The sequence below is a fragment of the Homo sapiens genome, chromosome 9 (assembly GCF_000001405.40).
Source record: "Homo sapiens chromosome 9, GRCh38.p14 Primary Assembly".
NCBI lineage: Eukaryota > Metazoa > Chordata > Mammalia > Primates > Hominidae > Homo > Homo sapiens.
This window is the reverse complement of record NC_000009.12, coordinates 98,220,553-98,239,137: the sequence shown is the minus strand read 5'-3', so window position 1 is coordinate 98,239,137 and position 18,585 is coordinate 98,220,553. Positions and strand designations below refer to the sequence as shown.

Below are 18,585 nucleotides of genomic sequence, written 5' to 3'. Positions count from 1 at the left end.
GCAGTAAGCTATGAGCATGCCACCACACTTCAGCCTGGGTGACAGAGTGAGACACTGTCTCTAAATAATAGTAATAAATAAATAAATAAATAATTTTTTTAAAAGTCTAGAAGGAGGCCAGGCACAGTGGCTCATGCCTGCAATCCCAGCACTTTGGGAGGCTGAGGTGGGTGGATCACCTGAGGTCAGGAGTTTGAGACCAGCCTGGCCAATATGGTGAAATCCCATCTCTACTAAAAATACAAAAATTAGCCGGCCATGGTGGTACAGGCCTGTAGTCCCAGCTACTTGGGAGGCTGAGGCAGGAGAATTGCTTGAACCCAGGAGGCGGAGGTTGTACCACTACACTCCAGCCTGGGCGACAGAGCAGCTCCGTCTCAGAAAACAAAAAACAAAAAACAAAAAAAACAAGTAGAACGAAACTTCCCCAGCTTGATAAAGGGAATCAATGAAAAATGCAAAGCTAACATACTTAATGGTAAAAGACTGAATATTTTCCCCTTAAAATCAGGAATATTCAACATTGTTCTGGAGGCTTTAGCCAGGCCAATTAGGCAAGAACATGAAATTAGGCATCCAGATTGGGAAGGAAAAAAGTAAAACTATCTTTATTTGCAGTTGACATGATATTTGTTTACAGAAAATCCTAAGGAAAAACTATTAGAGCTAAGAAATTAGTTCAGCAAGGTTGCAGGATTCAAGATCAATATAGAAATATCAGTTGTATTTCTATACACCTGTAATAAACAACCCAAAAATAAAATTAAGAAAACATTCCATAACAATATTAGAAAAAGAATTAAATATTTAGGAATGAATTTGACATAATGATGCAAAATGTGTGCTCTGAAAACACCAAACATTGTTGAAAAAAAGGGCTTAAGTAGCTGGAAAGATATCTCATGTTCATGAATCAAAAGACTTAATATTGCTAGGCTGAGCGCAGGGGCTCACGCCTGTAATCCCAACACTTTAGGAGGCCAAGGTGGGCAGATCACTTGAGGTCAGGAGTTCAAGACCAGCCTAGCTAACATGGTAAAATCCCGTCTCTACTAAAAATACAAAAATTAGCTGGGCATGGTAGCACATTCCTGTAATCCTAGCTACTTGGGAGGCTGAGGCAGGAGAATCGCTTGAACCCGGGAGGCAGAGACTGCAGTGAGCCATGATTGTGCCACTGCACTCCAGCCTGGGCAACAGAGTGAGACTCTGTCTCAAAAAAAAAAAAGAAAAAAAAGAAAAAAAAAAGACTTAATATTGTTAACCTATTAATCTGACAATACTTCCCAAATTGATCTACAGATTCAATATAATCACCATCAAAATTCTGGTGGCTTCCTTACAGAAATTAACAAGTTAAACCTAAAATTCAAGATCCTGGAAATTCAAGAGCCCCAGAGTACCCAAAATAATCTTGAAGAATAAAAAAAGTTTGCCCCGTCTCTACTAAAAATACAAAAAAAATTAGCCGGGCATGGTGGTGCACGCCTGTAATCCCAGCTACTCAGGAGGCTGAGGCAGGAGAATCGCTTGAATCTGGGAGGTGGAGGTTGCAGTGAGCCGAGATCGTGCCACTGCACTCCAGCCTGGGCGACAGAGCAAGACTCTATCTCAAAAAAAAAAAGAAAAAAAAAGTTTGAAGACGCACTCTTCCCAATATCAACACTACTACAAAGCTATAGTAATCCAGACAGTGGTGCTGTTGCAAGGTGCACTAAGTGGGGTGCACTCTGATATTTTCTTTCTTTTTTTTCAGCAAAGCCTGACTTTCTTTTTTTTCTTTTTTTTTTTTTGAGACAGTCTTGCTCTGTCACCCAGACTAGAGTGCAGTGGCGCAATCTCCACTCACTGCAACCTCTGCCTTCCCAGTTCAAGTGACATTCAGCAACTCTCCTGCCTCAGCCTCCCGAGAAGCTGGGATTACAGGCATGAGCCACTACGCCTGGTTAACTTTGGTATTTTTAGTAAAGACGGAGTTTCACTATGTTGGCCAGGCTGGTCTCGAGCTCCTGGCCTCAAGCAATCCACTCGCCTTGACCTCCCAAGGTGCTGAGATTACAGGCGTGAGCCACTGCACCCGGCCAAAGTCTGACATTCTTAACAGATTTTATTATCTTAACTGGCATGCTTTAAATTCATAAAAGCTTTGGAGAAATAATCAATTCCCAACCCCATGAAAAGTATTTTGAATGAGGAAAAAAAAAAAAAATGGAAGTAATGATCTACACAGATACAAAGCATGCCTTAGTTCCTCCCATATCCCCAACTGCTATTTTGTGATAAAGAATTCTCAGAAAGCAGTGTTTTTAATACTCATCAAGTAGAATCTCACCAGTGTAAAGAACCAACAACATTGATCTGGTGCCTCCGCTCACTCTTTGCAGACCATTTTTGGATTCCTAAGGTGTAATTATACATTTCACATACATTTGTGAGATAAGATAAACATTATGTTTATATCCCACATGAGCCAGGCTTAAAGGTTTTCTAAAAACTGTGTGTGGCACTAGAAACTTCATGCTGTATCAAGTCAGTATCAGTATCAAGCTACTGGACTCTATAATGAAATGTTATAGATAAACATTTACTGAAAACCAATATAAAAATCTGGCCCAGACCAGGCACGGTGGCTCATGCCTGTAATCCCAGAACTTTGGGAAGCCAAGGCGGGTGGATCACCTGAAGTCAGGAGTTTGAGACCAGCCTGACCAAAACGGCAAAACCCTGTCTCTACTAAAAATACAAAATTAGCTGTGTGTGGTGGTGGGCACCTATAATCCCAGCTACTCGGCAGGCTGAGGCAGGAGAATCGCTTGAGCCTGGGAGGTGGAGGTTGCAGTGAGCCGAGATCGTGCCATTGCACTCCAGCCTGGGTGACAGAGTGAGACTCCATCTCAAACAACAACAACAAAAATCTGGCCCAGAAAGACCAGGATGGAAATATGCAATCTTCTTGAGTTAAGATGGTCAATTGTTTTTTTTTAATAAATAAAATTTTAAAAAGCTCTATACAGTTTAAGACAAGTATGTGTAAGATATGTGTATGTTTTGTATGTGCTGACTTGATCATGACAACTCCCTGATTTTTTTTTTTCCTCTTTTGAGATGGAGTCTCACTCTGTCACCCAGGCTGGAGTACAGGTGGCGCTTTCTCGGCTCACTGCAAGCTCCACCTCCCAGGTTCATGCCATTCTCCTGCCTCAGCCTCCCAAGTAGCCGGGATTACAGGTGCCCGCCACCACACATGGCTAATTTTTTTGTATTTTAGGTAGAGACAGGGTTTCACCGTGTTAGCCAGGATGGTCTCGAACTCCTGACCTCGTGATCTGCCCACCTCAGCCTCCCAAAGTGCTGGGATTACAGGCGTGAGCCACCGTGCCCAGCCGACAACTTGCTGATTCTTATGAAGGATTAGGGATACACATCTTCAGCAATGCACATGAGAAATAAACTCTGAAAAAGACAATTTATTGGGGTTAGGAAGGACCGTATTTTGGGAAGTGCTTTAGAGAAACAGACAATAATTCTAGGATTATAGCTGAGAAGGATTGGAAGACTTCAGGAGATGCTTCAGCTTCTAGATTTTGAATGTCGAATAAATCATTGAAGTGTGATACCTACATTATCCTTTTCTTTGCAAAAAATTGAATAGTAGCACATTTCTTTATCCTGAATAGCAGACATTCATTTTTTCAATTAGCTGTTTCTCATCCAAGGCATTAGAAAGATCTCTCTCTTGCTTCCAAGTACTAGCACTGGAATTCCTTGTAACTGTGGTTTATCTAGATTACGTAGCTCATTTCTCAAGGCCTCTATCTTCTCACGATCTGCACCATCTGTTATGTAAACAATAGCGTTGACTCCTAAGCAATATAGTTCCTACATGCTCCGAAATTGGGGTTGTCCTCCTATGTCCCAGATCTTTTTTTTTTTTGAAATGGAGTCTCGCTCTGTCGTCCAGGCTGGAGGTGCAGTGGCGTAATCTCAGCTCACTGCAACCTCCGCCTCCCGGGTTCAAGCGATTCTCTGCCTCAGCCTCCCGAGTAGCTGGGACTACAGGCATGCGCCACCACGCCCGGCTAATTTTTGTATTTTTAGTAGAGACGGGGTTTCACCATCCTGGCCAGGCTGGTCTTGAACTCCTGACCTCGTGAGCCACCCACCTCAGCCTCCCAAAGTGCTGGGATTACAGGCGTGAGCCACCGTGCCCAGCCATATCCCAGATCTTTACTGTGATGTTACCTTTAGTTACTTTCCTCGTGTCGAAGCTCACTGTGGGTATCATGTTTTCACTAAATTGACCTGACGCAGTGATATTCACAAAGCTGGTCTTGGCCTAAGTCCTGTAGCCCCACAAGCGTCAGTTCTAGCTCCTGCTTCCAAAAGAGCAAATGGAACTAGTACAGCAGGCAGGAGATGTGCGCCGCATGACGACCACTGGGAGACAGGATGGATGGGAGGGTCGGCAAACAGAGGCAAGGATGACTTCCACACGAGCCAGCCTTGGTCTGGACCACCCAACAGCTCCTCAGGATTCCGATGCAACACAGGTGGATGCAGGCAGGTGGCAGCAGCCCTGATAGTTTCTATTTCATTTTTTAAATGCTGGTCATGACACTAAACTGATTTTACAATCTACCAATGAGTGGGAACTTTCAGTTCGAAATACACTGACCTAGTGAACTCCTTTCATCATTTTCCCTCCCTGTCATTAATCTTATCTCTTTGCAAGGGAAAATAAACTCCTTGAACTGTTTTTACATCCAGCTCATTATGAACTTCTCTGTGGTCTGTGATCTTAGGTCAGCCTTTGGTACTATCTAGTTCCCTTCTATAAACCAAACATGTATTGAGCCCGGTCTCTGGCATGTACAACCCAGTGTTGGGCACCAGCAAACATGCAGGTAGGTTAGTACCCGGTTCTTAAAGAAATGACATCATGAGGCTTCAGCCTAGACAAGTACTTGGCCAAAGGGTGACCCCGCTGCGAAGTACACTAAGCCCCTTGGAGGCCATGAGATGGTCAGTGAAGGCTGCACAGAGGACAGATCTGAGCAGGGAAAGAGAGCAAGCAGGGAAAGATGCCAGGAGATGTTTGCAACTTATCTCAGCAGAAGTCGGGAGCCACTGATGGTTTTTGAGCCAGATAGTTATGAAACCAGATGAAGGTTTCGGGAAAGTTGGTTCAGCAAGTCCATTCAGCATTCACTCAACACACCCATATTAAGCACCTTCTATGTTTTGGGCACCGTTTAGGCATTGTAGGTGCATCAGTTAACAAAACGGACAATACCTCCGCCTCATGGCATTTATATTCCAGCTGCAGGGGTGGGGGTTAAGGAAGTCAAGCTTGTATTACTTATAAGCCACATAGTGTGTGGAAGATGAGAATGCGAAAGAGATAGGTAAAGGAGATTGGGAGTGCCATGCATGGGGAGGCATCATGTAGGGTGCCTGGAGTCTGGGAGACCAGTCAGGATGACAGGGTGTGGGGATGAGACCTGAGCTCCAGCAGTGGTGGCGGGAAGGACAGAAGGGCAGAAAGGCAGGGTTCAGCCTCATGCTCCTCTGTTCTTGTCTCCTTTCAGGAACACAATGCACAACATCCGTGGCAACAAGCAGGCCCAGGGAACAGGCCATGAACCTCCAGGGGAAGATTCTCCACAGAGTGGGGAGCCTCAGAGGGAGGAGCAGCCCTTGGCCTCTGACGCCAGCACCCCAGGTGAGCCTCTGTCCAGGGCTGAGCTGCCTTCAGGGACCAGCTCCTCACGGCTGGCACAAGTGCCTTCTTTCCTTCCAGCGAACCAGCATTTGTGCTTTTGTGTGTGTCTTAGTTGGCTTGGGCTACTTACTGAAACACCATAGACTGCGTGGCTTAAATAACAGATACTTATTTCTCACAGTTGTGTGGAAGCTGGGAGGTCCAAGATCAAGGTGCCGGCAGATTCAATGTGTGGTGAGGGCTCCCTTCCTGGCTTGCAGATAGATGGCCACCTTCTCACTGTGTGTTCACGTGGCCGAAAGAGCTCTGGTCTCTGCTGCTTATTCTAAGGGTACTGATCTTATCAGGGGCTCCACCCTCATGACATTAAATCTGATCACCTCCCAAGGGCCCCACCTGTTAATACCACCACGCTACTAAAAATACAAAAGTTAGCTGGGCATGGTGGCCAGTGCCTACAATTCCAGCTACTCAGGAGGCTGAGGCAGGAGAACCACTTGAACCTGGGAGGCAGAGGTTGTAGTGAGTCGAGATTGCACCACAGCACTCCAGCCTGGGTGACAGAGTGAGACTCCGTCTCAAACAAAACCAAAAACAAATGTACACATGTGATAAAATGGCATAGACCTATACACACATATTGTACCAACACCAGTTTCCTAGAGTTGATAGTGTACTATAGCTATGTAAGATGTCACCATCAGGGGAAGCTTGGTGAAGAGTACTTGGGACATGTCTGCACTATCTTTGCAACTTCCTGTGAGTCTATAATTTTTTCAGAGTAAAAAATTAAGAAGAGGCTGGGCATGGTGGCTCACGCTTGTAATCCCAGCACTTTGGGAGGCCAAGGCTGGAGGATTGCTTGAGCCCAGGAGTTCAAGACAAGCCTGGGCAACACAGGGAGACCCTGTCTTTACAAAAAAATAAAAAAATTAGCTGATCATGGTGCAAGCCTGTAGTCCCAGCTACTTGGGATGCTCAGCTGGGAGGATCACTTGAGCCAGGGAGGTCGAGGCTGCAGTGAGCCGTGATCATGCATGGGTGACAGAGTGAGACACTGTCAAAAAAAAAAACAGAAAAAGAGAAAGAAGAAAAGAAAAAGCACCCTTTGGAGCAGTCAGTGCCTGGCAGAGCCCTAGAGAGCACAACAAGCAGTCCAAGAGAAGGCCAGTGCTATATCGGATGAGTCACCATCATCATAACACTAGCAGTTACTTCATGCCAGTGCGGCAGTAAGCATTTTTTTTGGCAACAACTTTATTAAGATATATTCATGTACTATACAATTCACCCATTTAAAATGTGTAATTCAGTGGCTTTCTGTATATCCTCAGAATTATGCAGCCGTCACTATAATCAATTTTAGAACATTTTTATTACCCCAAAAAGAAACCTGCACCCTTAGTCATCAACCTTAATCCCCACTGCCCCATAACCCTAGGTGGCCACTCATCTTTCTTTCTCTATGGCTGTGCCTGTTCTCGACATCTGCTGTGAGTGGAATATACCAAGGAATATACCATGCTGTGACTGGCTTCTTTGACTTAGTAGAATCTTTTCAAGTTTCATCTGTGTGTACCAAGCACTTTACCTACCTTGACCTATTTAATTCTTACAGCAACTGGAACTGTATATATTGTATATATTGTTGTTATCCTCATTAGATTAATAAGGAAACTGAGGCATGGAAGGGTGGAGTGACTTGCTCACGGCCACAGAGTGAGTGACAGAACAAAATCTAATATATAAAGCAGATAAATCCACCATAAGTTGAAAATATCATAAGTTGAAAATGCATTTAATATACTTAACCTATTGAACAGTATAGTTTTGCCCAGTCTATCTTAACCATGCTTGGAACACATACATTTGGGCAAAATCATCTAACACAAAACCTATTTTCTAATAAAGTGTTGAATATCTCAACACTGTGTTAAACTGTGTTAAACGGTGTTTACACTGTGTTAAACAGTGGTTGTAATCAGATTTTTAAATGGAGGAAAAGATTATTTTTATGTCAATAAATCTTTTCTAATATGTACAAATGAGTTTCTTGAACACTAATAAAAAACACCTAAATTCTTTTTGAGACTCTAAATGAGCTACAAATTAAAAAAAAAAAAAAAAAAAAAAAAAGCAGAGTTGAGGCTGGAGTTGGAGTCTGGACTCCTCCTCTGCTCCTCTTACTCCACCTTCCTCTCCCAGTCAGCCCTTGAGGCACTCCTATGAAATCCAGGGCACTGATTGAACACCACTGTCTTAGGCCTTATTTTCTCTAATTATAAACTGGGCACTGTGAGGCCTGCCCTGCCTGTCCTCAGAGTTGGTGCACAGTCATGTATCAGAGGGCAGCAGTGCTACAAGGAGCTTCCCTGCTCCCCTATACCCCATTACAGGAAGGAGAAAGAGGTAGTACATATTTCTGAGCTCTGCAGGCTGCCTTGTACCCAGTGTAACCTGATTTCTCTTCGATCTGGAACAAGACTGTTCTGGTTTTGCACTCAGCAAGGCACTGTTGTTTTGTTCGTTTGTTTTGAGTCAGAGTCTCGCTCTGTTGCCCAGGCTAAAGCGCACTGGCATGATCTCGGCTCACTACAACCTCTGCCTCCCGGGTTCAAGTGATTTCTGGCTAATTTTTGTATTTTTAGTAGAAACGGGGTTTCACCATGTTGGCCGGGTGGTCTCGAACTCCTGACTTCAAGTGATCTACCCGCCTCAGCCTCCCAAAGTCCTAGGATTACAGGCGTGAGCCACCACGCCCGGCCGAGCAAGGTACTGTTTTTGCACTCAGTGTCTGGTTCCTGTCACCTACTGGAGTAACTCTTTATTTGTTCAAGACTGTTTGGCCAGCCCTTGGCCTGGTCTCATGCTAAGTCATTTGGCCTATCCCCAAAGCCCTGCGTGTCCCCTATCCTGGGATGCCATACCACATTCTTATTTTCAACACCTTTAACACTTTAGTCCCAAGAAATAGGTAATAGTTTACTAAAATGCATACTCCTGCAAATGAGTAATTTGGTTAGGAGATTTAGATAAGATCAATTTACGATCCTACAAAATATCTGAGAGTAGGCAGTAAATGTGGCTGTAAGCTCAGCAGCCAAGGCAAAGAGGGAAATGCAAGCAGCTAGATTATTTCCAGTGTCCATAAGACTAAAAACATATTTTCTTATAAGAAGCAAAGCTTTTCTTGGAAGTTCCTAGGGCTGAAGGGAATTTCTTCTGCTGGGGACTCATAATAGGCATGATGTATATATCCCATGTGAACAAGCTTCTCAAGGGCCCTTGGCTACATAGTCAGGCCCTTAAATGTCCCTTGATGCAGGCTGATGGCAGAGACCAGAAGCACAGCTGGGTCAGGGCAGGACAAGGCAACACAAGGGAATGATTCTCTGATGTTTGGTTTGATTTAAGAATAAAATTTTGATGACTTAAAAACAGTGGGTGGCAAACATTTTTTGTAAAGAGCAAGATAGTAACGATTCGAGGCTTTGTGGGCCATAGGGTTTCTGTTTTAAGCACTCAGTTCTGCCTTTGAGGAGTAAAAGCAGCAATAGACAGCACATAAACAAATGGGCATGGCCGTGTTCTAATAAAGCTTTATTTGTAAAAGCAGGCTGTGGGCTGGATTTGGCCTGTGAACCATAGGTTGTAACCCAGGAGATAAAAGGACTATGCATCCTTGAGACAATCAACTGTGGGGGAAATATATCTCTTAACTTAGCTTGGAATAAGAAGAATCAAGTTAAATGCTTGAGCTGCTCTCTGGAGCAAGAATGCAGAGTACAGACATTCATTTTGTGTTCCTATCATCAGACAGATCTGTGTGCTTTGAAAATCTCCTAGTACATAGAGGTGGGATCCTGAAATAAGGAACAGAACATCCTGCCAGGGCTTGTGCCTGAGGAGAAAGCCACTTGGCAAACACCAGCAGGGTGGCATGAGATAGACCAATGCAGGCTGGGTGGGATCTGAAGGAAGGAGACAGGCACAGTTTAGCAGATGGGCCAGCACAGTGCAATAACGTTTATGTAGGCCAGTGGTTCTCACAGTCTAACCCCTGGACAAGCTGTGTCAGCATCACCTAGGAACTTTTTAGAAGTGCATATTCTCAAGCCCTGCCCCAGACCTATTAAATCCAGAGCTCCGAAATTAGGGCCCAACCATCCGCATTTTAACAAGCCCTCCAGGTGCTTCTAAAGCAAGCTCAGGTTTGAGAACTGCTGATGTCATCAGTCATAACTTCTGCGTTTCTCCTCTTGAGCAGGGAGAGAGCCAGAGGATTCTCCAAAGCCTGCACCCAAGCCTTCTCTGACCATCAGTTTCGCTCAGAAAGCCAAGCGCCAGAACAACACCTTCCCATTCTTTTCTGAAGGAATCACACGGAACCGAACTGCCCAGGAGAAAGTGGCAGCCTTGGAGCAACAGGTTCTGATGCTCACCAAGGAGTTAAAGTCTCAGAAGGTGAGGTCTGGTCCCAGGGAGGCCCCAGGTTCCAGTGGACCCCTCCAGTTCCTGGAGCCTTTCGGATAAGCTAGATGGGACGCATTAGCCGTGCTGGGCACCAGCTACTCTCTGGTCTTTAAAGGCCAAACTGCAGAATGTTGAAATATGCTGTTGATTACTCAAGAACCTGATGTCACTCAAAGTAAGTCACAAAAGGGCACCAAGGGCAGGTATCTCTGGAGATCTACTCTAATAACTGTCTCTTGGACCCCTCCTGGAGGGCCATGCATGGTCTCACCCCCTACCCAGAAAATGACATTATTTAGAGGCAGGTGATCTGGATGCAGGGTCATGGGAGGGGCTGTCGATAGAACTGGGGGGAACTTTGACCTGGCAGCCGATATCTGGGCACAGATATCTGAATGACCGTCACAAGACTGTCACAGGAGAAAGCAAACAAGCAGCATGTGTGTGGCCCAGGGCTAAGCCAGGACCAACACAGAAACAGTGAAAGGAATATTTGGGCTTAATATGGTAAGAAGTTAATTACGAGAGTTACAAGAGCTATATAATAATTGTAGAAAACAGATCTCATACACACAGACATTAAAACTACTCCAAAATCCTACATCCCAGAGAGTAAATGGTATTAAAAGCCAGGGGCTACCTTATGAAGTAGTGAGGGTCCCAGGGCAAAGATGTGAGAGGGCTGCAGCTCCGGGCGGGAGCCCCTCTTTAGAGTGATAAAAGCGACTAAGTTAGGCAGTTGTTACATAAATCCCAACGGTGGGGCCTGGTAGGACCTGTGGTGGCAGTGGCGGGCTCCAGTGAGGGCCCAGACTCCTTTTCCTCTAGAGGAAGGCCTAAGCTTTTGTGTTTGAACTTTGGCTGCCCGGAGGCCCTTTCTGCTTTGTTTTCCAGCCCTGACTCCAGAGGACTTAGGCTGGGGAGGTGGGGCTTATGCCCTATTACCTTCTGAATATTTCTTATAACTTGTACATTTCTTCTTTTCTTTTCTGCCCTATTTTGGTGGGAAGAAATCTAGAAAAAATGCTCTCCCTATACCTAGTTTGGCCCCTCGTCTGCCTTTTCTGCCCCTAAGCAGTGACCACTGTCAGCAGATCTCAGGGGAACCGGCAGAGGCTTCATTCCTGGCATGTCAGAAGTTACTTTTTTTTTTTTTTTTTTGAGACAGAGTCTCATTCTGTCACCCAGGCTGGAGTGCAGTGGTGCAGTCTTGGCTCACTGCAACCTCTGCCTCCCGGGTTCAAGCGATTCTCCTGCCTCAGCCTCCCAAGTAGCTGGGATTACAAGCACCTGCCACCATGCCCAGCTAATTTTTTTTTGTTTTTTGGTTTTTGTTTTTAGTATTTTTATTAGAGACTAGGTTTCACCATGTTGGCAAGGCTGGTTTCGAACTCCTGACCTCAAGTGATCTGCCCACCTCAGCCTCCCAAAGTGCTGGGATTACAGGCGTGAGCCACCGTGCCTGGCCAGGAGTTACATTTAGTGAAGCAACTGGTGATTAGACATTAGAGTTCTCAAAGGAGGGGGCTCATTTATTCATACGTTCTTAACTCATGTGTTTATTCACCAAATTTTTATTAAGGGCCTGTTATGTGCATGCAGTGTTCCAGGTGCTGGGAAAGAACAATGAGCAAAAGACACAGGCTCTGCCCTTACAGCTTGCATTTCATGGCAGAGACAGACATTAAACAAAGCAACACCCAAATGTGTAGTTATAACACGTGAGGTCCCCTCTGCTGCTGCTTAGCAGCCCAGCTGTCTTTTCCTCCTGTCATCATGGTGCTCCAGTTCTGAGGCTGCTGGACGCTCCTGAGAGCTGAGAGGGCATGAAACAGAGCCATAGCAGCTACTTGATCCCTGGACTAGTAGAGCTTAAATCCGAAACCCAAACCTGGAAAGAAAAAGAAATCCTGAATATACGGGCAGCCTCTCTTGACACAGCCTTTCTTTCTAAGACATTACAAATTGTCAGATGAAGTAGAAAGGCCCCAGGAAACCTAGATTTCATGAAAGTTTGCCCCTGATTGCTCTGCATCTCTGGAGGACTCATCATTCTTCAATAAATAAAGGCAAGATTCTTGGAGATTAATAAGGGTTGACCAGGCTATTGACAACTCCCATATATTCAGAGGGAAATTGTCAGGAGGAAGTTGTTGATGCATTGAAGAATCTGGATTTTTTTTCTACCAGGTAACCTTCCACCAAACCTCGACTTTGTGTCCTGGGACAGAGGGTCAAAAGGAGAATGAGTTGTGATTTATTTAGTTTATCCAATTATTGTGCAATAGGAGTGGATTTGTTTACTCTCCAACCCATTCCACAAATGAACTTCAGTCTTCAGGGTGATTCAAAGAACCAGCCTTTAAATAAGACAGCACAGGCTCAAATTCTGGCCCTAAGCAAGTTTCTTAACCTATCTAAGCCTCAGTTTCCTCTTCTGTAAATGGAGTTGCAGCCGTGTTTACTGGAGAGACCTGTGCCCAGATTCATAAAGCCCAGTACCTGGCACCCAGCAGCTGCCCAACAGATGCAGGCTCTGGTTGTTCTGGCGATTACTGCAGCCCTCCTTACCCTCCATGTCAATCTCTTCCTGCCCTACAAGCAGTGAGGTGCCCTGCTGAGGGGCTCAGAGACGAGGCGGGAAGTGAGAGCCCATCAGTGCCTTCAGGAAATGTGCCGTGGGGCCATAGCAGTGATCAGGGAGCTTAGGTCTTCATTCCACATTAGGAAGGGAGGAATGGCAGCCCCGTAACTCTAGGGTTTCACCTGTAGCCCAGATACTGAAACCAAAGAGGTGAGACAGAAAAAGCCAGCACAACTTCTGGGTGCCCAGTGGTGCCCCCAGGCACTCAGAATGCCGCTAGGAGAGCCGCTGTCCATCTGAGACCCTCATTAGAGTCCCATTCATCAGCTGGGAAGATGGGCACCTGGAATCCCAGGAGCTACCCCTGCGAGGTACCTTCCTGTGTTTCTTTAGTGGGAAGGCACCTCCTGTCTACCTCAAACTTCAGGAGGACATGGGAATTTGGGGTCTTATCCTAGCTGATCTGGCCATTGCCAGTGGCTTTCGTGACTCTTTAGGAATTTCTATCTCAAACACTGCGAGATGCTCTTGAGAGCACATTGCAGACAAATCCCTGCCCTTGGGCACCTCACCATCTAGTGGGGAAGAGAAGATGTGAGCATGGGAACTGCTGGTATGAAGCGCGGCCCCAGGACTGTGCTGAGCCTTCCCATGTGTTATCTCTGTCCTTACAATAGTTTTCATCCCCTTACTCTGAAAGGGAAACTGAGGTTCTCAGAGTGTCTGCATGCTCAGGGTCTCCCAGGGGCTAAGCCAGCATTTGAGGAGCTCAGAGGAGTTGGGTGACTTGCCCATGCGCAGGCAGCTGGAAAAGCCAGGATTGGGGCCCTAACCTCCTTCTCCAAGTCTAGAGGCTGGGCTGCCTCCTCTCTTCCATAGTCTCATGGTGAGGCCCACTATGAGACACAAGCACCAAAACTGCTCTTGAGAAAAAATGAATGCACTCCCTGTGTACCCCCTGGTGTCATATTAAACCACAGGTTGACTTCAATACCCATTAAGCCATTATCTGTCCCCATACCTGCAGCACTGGCCCCACAAGAGGTTTGGGCTCTAGGAGATAGCACCAGATGGCTGATTGGCCGGGGACTGACCCTTGGAGTTGACAGAACTCCACCCAGCCTGAAGGCCGTCTGCTCTGGCAGATGGAAGGCTGTTGTCTGTGGTGATGTTGGCCATCTGTTGGCGGCTGGGAATGATGAACCCCTCTGGGACCCTGCCTGCGGCCCTCTGGGGCCACCTTAGTTCAATCAGGATTACTGGGTAAAGGAACGTAATTTTTTAGGAAACTCAGTGGGGCAACGTATAGCCTCTTACTTTCCTAGAACTCCAGCCAAAAACTTCAGAGGACATGAAAGAGGGCTGGGAGGTACCTTGGCCATGTCAGCTTGGGGAGGGACACTTGGCACTTTCTCTTTCATGCTAGAGGCAGTTCTGAGCAGAAGAGGAAGCTTTAGCCCCATTCATGAGAAAGCTGAGGTTCAATGAAGAGGCCACCTGAGCTACCCTCCTTAGAGTCACCTCGTTAGATACACCCCCCACGGATCCAGAATGGGAACCGAGGCCTGTGCAACTCCAAAGCCCATGCCCCTTCATCTGACCCCTGTAGGGCCCACCACTGATGAAAGTAGCAATGCTCTAAAAAGATAAAGGATTATTTTTTAAAGATGATTTATTGGCTTTTAAAAATTTAAATAAAGTGACAACTTATGACCACGTATCAAAATCTGAGATGAACCAAACAACTCGATTGAGAAATATTAAAAGTACCACTTGGGCCGGGCATGGTGGCTCACACCTATAACCCCAACACTTTGGGAGGCCAAGGTGGGAGGATCTCTTGAGCCCAAGAGTTCAAGACCACCCCGAACAACATAGGGAGACCCTGTCTCTACAGAAAATAAAATAATTAGCTGGGCAATGTGGTGCATGCCTGTAGTCCCAGCTACAAGGGAGACTGAGGCAAGAGAATCTCTTGAGCCCAGGAGGTTGAGGCTGCGGTGGGCCGTGATTGCGCCACTGCACTCCAGCCTGGGCAACAGAGTGAGACCCTGTCTCAAAAAAAAAAAAAAAAAAAAGAAAAGAAAAAAAAACACTTCAAAAAGCTTAATTTCATCAACCCCTCTATTTTTCTTTTCTTTTCTTTTCTTTTTTTTTTTTTTGAGATGGAGTCTCGCTCTGTCGCCCAGGCTAGAGTGCAGTGGTGCGATCTCAGCTCACTGCCAGCTCCGCCTCCCGGGTTCACACCATTCTGCCTCAGCCTCCTGAGTAGCTGGGACTACAGGCACCCGCCACCACGCCTGGCTAATTTTTTTGTATTTTTAGTAGAGACGGGGTTTCACCATGTTAGCCAGGATGGTCTCGATCTCCTGACCTCGTGATCCGACCGCCTTGGCCTCCCAAAGTGCTGGGATTACAGGCGTGAGCCACCACGCCCGGCCCAACCTATTTTTAAGAATTGGTCCTAAGACATTGCTTATAATCCAGACTTTAGGTTTCTTGAATTCATGACATTCTCACTCCTCATCTTACAAGTCCTACTGAGGCTCCCTCCCTCTGCCCTGGTTCCGTTCTTTTAAGCCTATTTTATTCTGGTACAAGAATTCTGGGGGTGGGAGGAGAGCCTCCTGGGCTGGTGTCTCAGTCTTAGATTCTGGGAGCCAAATGCGGGAAGGAGACAGCTAGATGTAATGAAATAAGCTTCAGAGTCAACTAACTCCCCAAATTGAGGGAAAGACACCCACTGGTCCTGCTCCTAGGGCAAGTCTGAACAATGATGTCTGTTGGTTATTTCCCTGGGCAGTCATCCAAGGTAACCTCCAAATCTCAGCTGAAGCAGAAAATGGCCTAGGCCCCCAGTTTTCCTGGAACCACAGGAATGTTAATCTCTCTCCACTGAGCCCTGAGAAGCTGACTTCTTCATTCTGGACGTTCCAAACATTCCCTTTTGGTTTGCAATCACTGTGCTGTCCTCACCCCAACTTCCTGCCACACCCCAGGGCTCCCACAGCTCCATGGTAGCTCTTTCCTTCCTCCAGGTCTTTACTGGGGCTGTAGCTTGGCCACATCTGGAGGGCCATCCCCACCCTCATCTCCCACCTGCTGCTCGACCATCTCTGGCCCTTCTCATTCTTCACAGTTTCTTTTAAATGCTCTGGACTGGTATTCCCCACAACCTCCACCCCAGACAGAAGTCATTGCCTTTCCCACAAACACCCTTGTTCCCCTGACTTGCAGTAGATCATTCCACTGTGGTGGGTCATGTTCATTCCCACCAGCCTTTGCAGTCCTTGGAGGTGGGAACTCTCACCACTCCCTCTCTGGGCCACGGCACCTGGCTCAGGGCCTGGCCTGGCACCGAGTGGTGCTTGGTAAAGGTTGGATGGATGGATGGGCATGTGGAAGGAAAAGAGAGAACCAGAGAAAGGATGGTCACTAGTCCTAAGGTTTCAGAAGATGCAGGCTAATGTGGTCTTGTCATTAGCTTCTCCAAAAAAGTCATGGTTTTTGGCAGTTTTCCTCCAATATAGAATTGTTCTTAGCAAATAAGGCTATCCAGCCAATCCACTCATTTTAATACTTTGGTGTGGTATAGTTGACATGTCTCTAGGAAACCATGTTTTTCCAAATGAGAAGCACAGAGCAGGGCAGTGTTGCCTGAAAGTCATACCTACCTGGTATTAGTTCCACGTGGACCTGGCTGCTGATGTCCTGATCCTGGCCCAGAACAAATTCACATCCCTGCTTTGGGACAGATAGGCCTGAGTCCAGGCGTGGCCCTCCCTGGGGAAATTACAGGCTTAAAGGCACAGGGAGCTGAGCAGACCTTGAGTTCCTGTGTGAATTAGTTGCCCCTGCTGAGGAATAAATCAAGCTCTATTGTTTCTGAACTTTCTAGAGTTCCTTCCACCAGCTTTGCAGGCATCGGCTGGTGGGCTGAAGGTAACTAGGCACAAATGGCTTGAATGAGGTCCTCTGTGTGTGGCTTTACATGGGGATTGCCAGTGTATTTCCTCTTTAACCCTGACTCAACTTGATTGGTAGTGACTGGCTGCTATATTGAGAATGATTCTGAGGCCTCAACTAGGGTAGGCTGTGCAGGAAGAAGTATGGGAGATTAATTAGTGATGTCTGCCACAGGGATGAGAGGGAAGAGTAATGCCACATAGCTGCCACCCCTGGTTTTCTTAGTTACTGAGCACAGGCTTTGGAATCTAGCCAATTGAGATTGAATTCCATTCTACTCTCTGCTGGGCCTCAGTTTGTTCATCCCTGAAATGGATGTGTATATGTCAGGGTATGGGTTCAGCTGCTGTGACAAAAACATCTCCACTGGGTGTGGTGACTCATACCTGTAATCCCAGCACTTTGGAAGGCCAAGGTGGGCAGATCATTTGAGTCCAGGAGTTTGAGACCAGCCCGGCAACATGGCAAAACCCCTTCTCTACAAAAAAATACAAATATTAGCCTGGTGTGTTGGCATGTTCCTGTGGTCCCAGCTACTTGAGAGGCTAAGGTGGGAGGATCAGCTGAGCCCAGGAGATTGAGGCTACAGTGAGCCATGTCTGTGCCACTGCACTCCAGGCTGGGTAACAGAGGGAGACGCTATCTCAAAAAAAAAAAGTTTCAAAGCACTGTGGCCCAAAACGAGTGAGAGGTTTCTCATTCACATTAAAGAACCCAGAGGTAGGTGAGCAACTCTGAGCTGGGGGGCAGCCCTTTCTCAACATGTACCTTCTGCTGTGGGTCTGAGGCGGCCACTCTAGTTCCTGCCACTTCCCAGCCAGAAGCAAAGAGAACTGGACCAGAGGAGCGTGTATCTAGTGGTTTTAAAGGTAGGACCCAGAAGCTGCCCATCTCACTTTTCATTTCCCATTTAGGCAGAATAGTTACTTGGCTACACCTCACCATGGCTTGGCTGGGAGATGCAGTTTTAAGCTGGGGAACCATGTGCCCAGCTAACAGTCACTTGAACAGAGAAGGAGAAAGTGAGTGTCAGGATGAGATGCCGCAGGGATGCTGCTGGGCACCTCTCACGGTTGTTAGGAGAACTACTGATAACATATACCCCACTGTGGCGCCCAGCAGGCCCTCCCTGAGCTCACAAGATTCTTCCCTCTCCCTGCCCAGGAGCTAGTGAAGATCCTGCACAAGGCACTGGAGGCCGCCCAGCAGGAGAAGCGGGCGTCCAGCGCATACCTGGCGGCGGCTGAGGACAAGGACCGGCTGGAGCTGGTGCGGCACAAAGTGCGGCAGATCGCGGAGCTGGGCCGGCGGGTGGAGGCCCTGGAGCAGGAGCGGGAGAGCCTGGCGCACACAGCGAGCCTGCGGGAGCAGCAGGTGCAGGAGCTACAGCAGCACGTGCAGCTGCTTATGGACAAGAACCACGCCAAGCAGCAGGTCATCTGCAAGCTCTCTGAGAAGGTCACCCAGGACTTCACGCACCCCCCTGACCAGTCTCCTTTGCGCCCCGACGCTGCCAACAGGGACTTCCTGAGCCAGCAGGGGAAGATAGAGCACCTGAAGGTAGGGGCCTCCCCTCAGGGCCTGCCAGTCCTGCCGGTCCTCTGTCCCAGCCCTCAGGGAAGGTGCGCTCTCCACCCCTAAGGGTTTGCTAGGTGGAGTGGGGATACCCCTTCATCCTAGAATATTCACATTAGAAACACATGTTGATGGGAATATTGCTCTACGCTTCTTCACTTTCTTTACCACAAGGCCCAGTGCAGTTTGCCTGGGCCTTGATTGACCCATTAACCAGTAGCCCTGGTATCCTGGGCTACTGAAAAGTGAAGGTGCCTCTAGATTA

The 18,585-nt window shown here is 47.0% G+C and overlaps 1 protein-coding gene, 1 non-coding gene and 1 pseudogene across 8 annotated transcripts in view, besides 1 other annotated feature; 2 read left to right on the top strand and 1 right to left on the bottom strand.

The window, feature by feature from the left end:
- TBC1D2 (TBC1 domain family member 2) overlaps positions 1-18,585 on the top strand; it is a 56,652-nt gene that overhangs the window by 16,512 nt on the left and 21,555 nt on the right. For all 7 annotated transcript variants that reach the window (NR_051978.2, XR_929824.4, NM_018421.4 and 4 more), the window contains 3 exons: positions 5,589-5,722; positions 9,990-10,186; positions 17,910-18,305. Coding sequence is in view for 5 of the 7 variants with exons in the window: in NM_018421.4 (NP_060891.3) it covers positions 5,589-5,722; positions 9,990-10,186; positions 17,910-18,305 (727 nt within the window). In the remaining 2 variants the exon portion in view is untranslated. The remainder of the gene's footprint in view (positions 1-5,588; positions 5,723-9,989; positions 10,187-17,909; positions 18,306-18,585) is intronic.
- Positions 3,386-4,576, bottom strand: LOC100131625 (ADP ribosylation factor like GTPase 8B pseudogene; annotated as a pseudogene).
- MIR6854 (microRNA 6854) lies at positions 9,921-9,989 on the top strand. Its single transcript, NR_106913.1, has one exon. It is a non-coding gene; the product is annotated as a microRNA 6854 (primary transcript).
- Positions 15,269-16,468: an enhancer, noted in NCBI's record as "MED14-independent group 3 enhancer chr9:100984952-100986151 (GRCh37/hg19 assembly coordinates)". NCBI's record gives its function as "activates an origin of replication core promoter dependent on BRD2, BRD4, P300/CBP and CDK7 cofactors, and independent of MED14, by STARR-seq in HCT116 cells {active_cell/tissue: HCT116}" and the evidence as "EXISTENCE:reporter gene assay evidence [ECO:0000049][PMID:35650434]".